Source organism: Homo sapiens, chromosome 4 (assembly GCF_000001405.40).
Source record: "Homo sapiens chromosome 4, GRCh38.p14 Primary Assembly".
Taxonomy (NCBI): domain Eukaryota; kingdom Metazoa; phylum Chordata; class Mammalia; order Primates; family Hominidae; genus Homo; species Homo sapiens.
In genome coordinates, this window is record NC_000004.12 from 164,670,956 (window position 1) to 164,678,873 (window position 7,918).

General features: G+C 40.5%; 1 annotated feature.

The window, feature by feature from the left end:
* Positions 5,322–5,822: an enhancer, noted in NCBI's record as "H3K4me1 hESC enhancer chr4:165597429-165597929 (GRCh37/hg19 assembly coordinates)". NCBI's record gives its function as "activates a minimal SCP1, AML or CMV promoter by ChIP-STARR-seq in primed H9 embryonic stem cells {active_cell/tissue: H9 hESC(primed)}" and the evidence as "EXISTENCE:reporter gene assay evidence [ECO:0000049][PMID:30033119]".

A 7,918-nucleotide genomic window follows, 5' to 3' on the forward strand; every position in this document is an offset into this window, starting at 1 on the left:
TTTACAACCATCTGATCTTTGACAAACCTGACAAAAACAAGAAATGGGGAAAGGATTCCCTGTTTAATAAATGGTGCTGGGAAAACTGCCTAGCCATATGTAGAAAGCTGAAACTGGATCCCTTCCCTACACCTTATACAAAAATTAATTCAAGATGGATTAAAGACTTACATGTTAGACCTAAAACCATAGAAGAAAACCTAGGCAGTACCATTCAGGACATAGGCATGGGCAAGGACTTCATGTCTAAAACACCAAAAGCAATGGCAACAAAAGCCAAAATTGACAAATGGGATCTAATTAAACTAAAGAGCTTCTGCACAGCAAAAGAAACTACCATCGGAGTGAACAGGCAACCTACAGAATGGGACAAAAATTTTGCAATCTACTCATCTGACAAAGGGCTAATATCCAGAATCTACAAAGAACTCAAACAAATTTACAAGAAAAAAACAAACAACCCCATCAACAAGTGGGCGAAGGATATGAACAGACACTTCTCAAAAGAAGACATTTCCGCAGCCAACAGACACATGAAAAAATACTCATCATCACTGGCTATCAGAGAAATGCAAATCAAAACCACAATGAGATACCATCTCACACCACTTAGAATGGTGATCATTAAAAAGTCAGGAAACAACAGGTGCTGGAGAGGATGTGGAGAAATAGGAACACTTTTACACTGTTGGTGGGACTGTAAACTAGTTTAACCACTGTGAAAGACAGTGTGGCAATTCCTCAAGGATCTAGAACTAGAAATACCATTTGACCCAGCCATCCCACTACTGGCTATATACCCAAAGGATTATAAATCATGTTGCTATAAAGACACATGCACACGTATGTTCATTGCGGCACTATTCACAATAGCAAAGACTTGGAACCAACCCAAATGTCCAACAATGATAGACTGGATTAAGAAAATGTGGCACATATACACCATGGAATACTATGCAGGCATAAAAAATGATGGGTTCATGTCCTTTGTAGGGACATGGATGAAGCTGGAAACCATGATCCTGAGCAAATTATCGCAAGGACAGAAAACCAAACACCGCATATTCTCGCTCATAGATGGGAATTGAACAATGAGAACCCTTGGACACAGGGTGGGGAACATCACACACCGGGGCCTGTTGTGGGGTAGGGGAGAGGGGAGGGCTAGCATTAGGAGATATACCTAACGTAAATGACGAGTTAATGGGTGAGGCATACCAACATGGCACACGTATACATATGTAACAAACCTGCACATTTTGCACATGCACCCTAGAACTTAAAGTATATAAAAAATAATAATAAAAATAATAATAATTTCCTTATTTCAAGTAATAACAGTTGACTTCCCATAAAGCTAGTATTTTGTATAACACACTTTGGGAAACACTGGATCAGAATCTCTAACTTAAAAACTACAGGTTGAAATAGCTCTGTATAGAAAACTAAGTAAACCTTTTCCTCTTCATCATACATCTCTCATCCCTATCATTTTTTGTCATCCATAAAAGGCATAATAATCACACCTCCCTTTGACTTCAAGTCACTGGTACTCTTGGTGGATATATGAAATTATTTTGGGAAAAAAGCTTATAATCTAAAAATTGTAAATGAAAAATAATTTCATTACTACCCTCTGGAGCATAGATTAGGCTTAGTGACTTGCTTCCAGGGAACATAACACGGAAAGTGGGAGGAAAGTACCTTTACAGTAGAGAAACCTCGGCCAGGTGATCCAGGTTAATAATGTCAGTAATAAGTCAGGTTGCTATCATGGACCCCTGGTATGAGATGATGAGAACACTTCACCTCTGTAGTACTCTTCACCTCTGTAGTACTCTGTAGTACTGTCACAGATAGAGGGAGACTAAGGAGATAGGCTGACTAAATGTAAGGTGGCATCATGGATGGTATCCTGGCACAGAAAAAAACACAGAGAAAAACTAGTAAAATCCAAATAAAGCCTGGAATTTAGTTAATAGTGATGCACCAATGTTGGTTTCTAGTTTTTGCAAATGGTTACGTAGGATGATAAAACAGGGGAAACAGGGATGTGGAGCATATGAGAAATCTTTGTACTTCTTTGTAAGTTTCCAGCAAATCTAAAACTATTCTTAAATGTTTAATTAAAAATATCAGTAATTGCATCTACAATTGCTGAGTATATAAATCAGGCCACATTAAAAGGGTAACTACAAGATAAGAGCATGAATCTGAATCCAAACTTCCAACTTTGAATCCCCGTTCTGCCACCTGCTGACTTCACGATCTTAAGCCATGTCTAAATGTACTCATCTTTAAGAACGAATAACATTCTTAATTCATAAAGGCTAAAAGAGTTAATGATGCAAAGTACGTGAAGCAGAGCATGGCAGCTGTTAAGCATTCCATTAGCTATAAATGTTATGATTGTTTCTTTTTATCATAAGTTTAGAAAACCTAAGAGTGCTAGTTGACAGTAAACAACATAAAAATAAGTGATAACATGACAAAATAAACCAACTAATATAAATTAAACTACTATAGTAGAGTGTAATAGCAGTAGGGTAAAACAAAGGTAGAAAGTAAAATCTCTCCGCTTCATTAATCAGGCCCTATTAAGAGTATTATACATGAGTCTGAGTGTTAACAAGAAAATTTCTTCAAAGACAATCAAGATGCTCAAAACTGTGACATATAAAGAGACAGTTGGAAGACCTGGCAATGTTTAGGCTGGAAAAATAGAAAACTAAGGGAAAATGGGATACAACTTTACAACATGAAGTACTGGCCCGGCATAGTGGCTCACGCCTGTAATCCCAGCACTTTGGGAGGCCAAGGCAGGTGGATCCCTTGGGCCCAGGAGTTTGAGACCAGACTGGGCAACATAGAGAGACATCATCTCTAAAAAAATTAATTAATTAATGTACCTGGGCCTGGTGGCACATACCTGCTGTCCCAGCTATTTGGGATGTTGAGGTGGGAGGATCACCTGAGTCTATGAGGTTGAGGCTGCAGTGAGCTGAGATTGTGCCCCTGCACTCCCGCCTAGGCTACAGAGTGAGACTCTGTCTCAAAGTAAATAAATTAATAAAATAAAACATGAAATATTTTCACATTAACACCGTTGAATATTTATGTAACAACTTCAAAGCCAAACTTGAAAGAAAATTAAATAACTTATTTATACAAAGCAACTACTAATACTTAATAGTAAGAAATATTGCCACTCAGATGATGCACATAAAGAACATAAAAAATATTAACAGATCTGCTTTCTCTGGAATATTATATTCTATTATAATAAATAAACTCACACTTATGTGCATATAATATGCATCTTTTGCTTTTTTTATTTATGTTACTTATTAACATACTAAGATGTCTTCAAGAGGATGGTACACAAGATGTATTAAAGTGATGACTTTTTAAAAATTGAATTTCTTAAGCTCTGCCTTTATTAAAAACCAAGCAACAAATGTTCCATATTTTAAAACCCTAAAGCATATTTAAAAACTGGGGTAAGATTATATTATAAAAATAACTGCAAAATTGTTCCCACAATTATTCTCCTATGCTATACCCTTTTTCTTTTCTTGACATTACACCCAGCATGGTACTTCACTCAATTAGAAGTTAAATAAATATTTTGCATGAAGCTTTGAAACATTAGGATTTATCTGTAGCACATGGATGCAAGTATCTTAAATTCTCCTCTAGAAATGGGAATTTATCAAATAATGATGATAGATACAGAAAAAAGTAAACCCAGGATTCATCTCTATTTATTGTGCTTTATTAAAGCAGAAAGTATTATTGAAAATTGTCATCCTGCCAAACTAAGCTTCATATGTGAAGGAGAAATAAAATCCTTTACAGAAAAGCAAAGGCTGAAGGATTTTGTCACCACCAGGCATGCCTTACAAGAGCTCCTGAAGGAAGCATTAAATATGGAAAGGAAAAACTGGTACCAGCCCCTGCTAAAACAAACAAAAATGTGAAGACCATTGACACTATAAAGAACTGCATCAACTAATGGGCAAAATAACCAGTTAGCATTATAATGACAGAATCAAATTCATACATAACAATATTAACCTTAAATGTAAATGGGCTAAATGCCCCAATTAAAAGTCACAGACTGGCAAATTGGATAATGAGTCAAGACCCATCAGTGTGCTGTATTCAGAGGAGACCCATCTCATGGAGGAAGACACACAAAAGCTCAAAATAAAGGGATGGAGGAAGATTTGCCAAGCAATTGTAAAGCAAAAAAAAAAAAAAAAAAAAGCAGGGGTTGCAATCCTAGTCTCTGATAAAAGAGACTTTAAACCAACAAAGATCAAAAAAAGACGAAGAAGGGCATTACATAATGGTAAAGGGATCAATGCAACAAGAAGAGCTAACTATCCTAAATATATATGCACCCAATACAGGAGCACCCAGATTCATAAAGCAAGTTCTTAGAGACCTACAAAGAGACTTGGACTCCCACACAATAATAGTGGGAGACTTTAACACCCCACTGTCAATATTATACAGATCAATGAGACAGAAAATTAACAAAGATATTCAGGACTTGAACTCAGCTCTGGACCAAGTGGACCTAATAGATATCTACAGAACTCTCCACCATAAATCAACAGAATATATGTTCTCCTCAGCACCACACCACACTTATTCTAAAATTGACCACATAATTGGAAGTAAAACACTCCTCAGCAAATGCAGAAGAATGGAAATCATAACAAACAGTGTCTCAGACCACAGTGCAATCAAATTAGAACCCAAGATTAAGAAACTCACTCAAGGAAGAATGTTAGTGCTGACAGAAGTTTCATGAGGTTGGGTGTGGTGGCTCATGCTTGTAATCACAGCACTTTGGGAGGCCAAGGTGGGCAGATCACTTGAGGCCAGGAGTTCGAGACAGGCCTGATCAACATGGTCAAAGTCTGTCTTTACAAAAAATAGAAAAATTAGTGGGGGAGGTTCCAAGATGGCTAGATAGGAACAGCTCCAGTCTACAGCTCCCAGCATGAGCGACGCAGAAGATGGATGATTTCTGCATTTCCAACCAACCTACCAGGTTCATCTCACTGGGGCTTGTCAGACAGTGGGTGCAGCCCACGGAGCAGGGCGGGGCATCGCCTTACCTGGGAAGCACAAGGGGTCGGGGAATTCCCTTTCTAGCAAAGGGAAGCTGTGACAGACGGTACCTGGAAAATCGGGAAACTCCCACCCTAGTACTGCGCTTTTCCAACGGCCTTAGCAAACGGCACACCAGGAGATTATATCCCACGACCTGGCTCGGAGGGTCCCACACCCATGGAGCCTTGCTCACTGCTAGCACAGCAGTCTGAGATGGAACTGCAAGGCGGCAGTGAAGCTGGGGGAGGGGCATCTGCCATTGCTGAGGCTTGAGTAGATACACAAAGCAGCCAGGAAGCTCGAAATGGGTGGAGCCCACCACAACTCAAGGAGGCCTGCCTGCCTCTGTAGACTCCACCTCTGGGGGCAGGGCATAGCTGAACAAAAGGCAGCAGAAACTTCTGCAGACTTAAACGTCCCTGTCTGACAGCTTTGAAGAGAACAGTGTTTCTCCCAGCATGGAGTTTCAGATCTGAGAACCCACAGACTGCCTCCTCAAGTGGGTCCCTGACCCCTGAGTAGCCTAACTGGGAGACACCTCCCAGTAGGGGCAGACTGACACCTCATATAGTCAGGTGCCCCTCTGAGACAAAGCTTCCAGAGGAAGGATCAGACAGCAACATCTGCCGTTCTGCAATATTTGCTGTTCTGCATCCTCTGCTGGTGATACCCAGGCAAACAGGGTCTGGAGTGGACCTCCAGCAAACTCCAACAGACCTGCAGCTGAGGGTCCTGACTGTTAGAAGGAAAACTAACAAACAGAAAGGACATCCACACCAAAACCCCATCGGTACATCACCATCATCAAAGACCAAAGGTGGATAAAACCACAAAGATGGGGAGAAACCAGAGCAGAAAAGCTGAAAATTCTAAAAATCAGAGCGCCTCTTCTCCTCCAAAGGAATGCTGCTACTCGCCAGCAATGGAACAAAGCTGGACGGAGAATGACTTTGACGAGTTGAGAGAAGAAGGCTTCAGATGATCAGTAATAACAAACTTCTCCAAGCTAAAGGAGGATGTTCGAACCCATCGCAAAGAAGCTAAAAACCTTGGGAAAAGATTAGATGACTGGCTAACTAGAATAAACAGTGTAGAGAAGTCCTTAAATGACCTGATGGAAGCTGAAAACCATGGCACGAGAAATACATGACGCATGCACAAGCTTCAGTAGCTGATTTGATCAAGTGGAAGAAAGAGTATCAGTGATTGAAGATCAAATGAATGAAAGGAAGCGACAAAAGAAGTTTAGAGAAAAAAGAGTAAAAAGAAATGAACAAAGCCTCCAAGAAATACGGGACTATGTGAAAAGACCAAATCTACATCTGATTGGTGTACCAGAAAGTGACTGGGAGAATGGAGCCAAGTTGGAAAACACTCTGCAGGATATTATACAGGAGAACTTCCCCAACCTACCAAGGCAGGTCAACAGTCAAATTCAGGAAATACAGAGAACGCCACAAAGATACTCCTCAAGAAGAGCAACTCTAAGACACATAATTGTCAGATTCACCAAAGTTGAAATGAAGGAAAAAATGCTAAGGGCAGCCAGAGAGAAAGGTTGGGTTACCCACAAAGGGAAGCCCATCAGACTAACAGCAGATCTCTCGGCAGAAACTCTACAAGCCAGAAGAGAGCGGGGGCTCATATTCAACATTCTTAAAGAAAAGAATTTTCAACACAGAATTTCATATCCAGCCAAACTAAGCTTCATAAGTGAAGGAGAAATAAAATCCTTTACAGGCAAGCAAATGCTGAGAGATTTTGTCACAACCAGGCCTGCCTTACAAGAGCTCCTGAAGGAAGCACTAAACATGGAAAGGTACAACCAGTACCAGCCACTGCAAAAACATGCCAAATTGTAAAGACCATCAATGCTAGGAAGAAACTGCATCAACTAATGAGCATATTTTCTTCTTTCATTAGTTTCAACGAAGGGCAAGTCACCACTTTACCAGGATCATCCCCTTCCTCTGTGCTCAGATCCCATCCCCACCTGCCTCCTTACAGAGCTCAGGTCATTGCACTTTTTCTTTCCACCCTCTATCTTTGACCTCTATTGAATCTTACTGTATCCTCCTCATTAGCATTCAGGCTGGTTCTAGTCTCTTCTAGCTTTTTTCATAAAAGTGTCCCTTTGTCCATGTCATTCTCACTCAATAATTCATTCGTTCAATAAATATTTACTGAGCCAACTATGATATACCAGACACCAGTGACCCAAACAGACAAAACCCTATCCTCATAGAGTTTATATCTTAAAAGGGGAAGACATATGGCTTGAATAAAATAAGCAAACAGGCCAGGCAAGGTGCCTCACACCTGTAATCCCAGCACTTTGGGAGGCCAAGGCGGGCAGATCACTTGAGGTCAGGAGTTTGAGACCAGCCTGGCCAACATGGTGCAATCCCCTCTCTACCAAAAATGTAAAAAATTAGCCGGGTGTGGTGGTGCATCCCTGTAATCCCAGCTACTCAGAAGCTGAGGCAGGGGAATCTCTTGAACCTGGGAGGCAGAGGTTGCGGTGAGCCAAGATTGTGCCACTGAATTCCAGCGTGGGTGACAGAGTGAGACTCCGTCTCAAAAAAAAAGCCAACAATCATATGGACTAGCAGATAATAGTACTGTGTTTAAAAATTAAGTAGCAGTAGGAGAAAAGGAATGGTATGAGAGAGCACAGTTTTAAATGGGGTGTTCCAGGAAGGTCCATTGAGAAATAATTGAGCAAAGCCCTGGAAGTTATGAGGAGTGGAGACCTAGGAGACATGGAGACCAAGGAGAAGAGCGTTCCAGA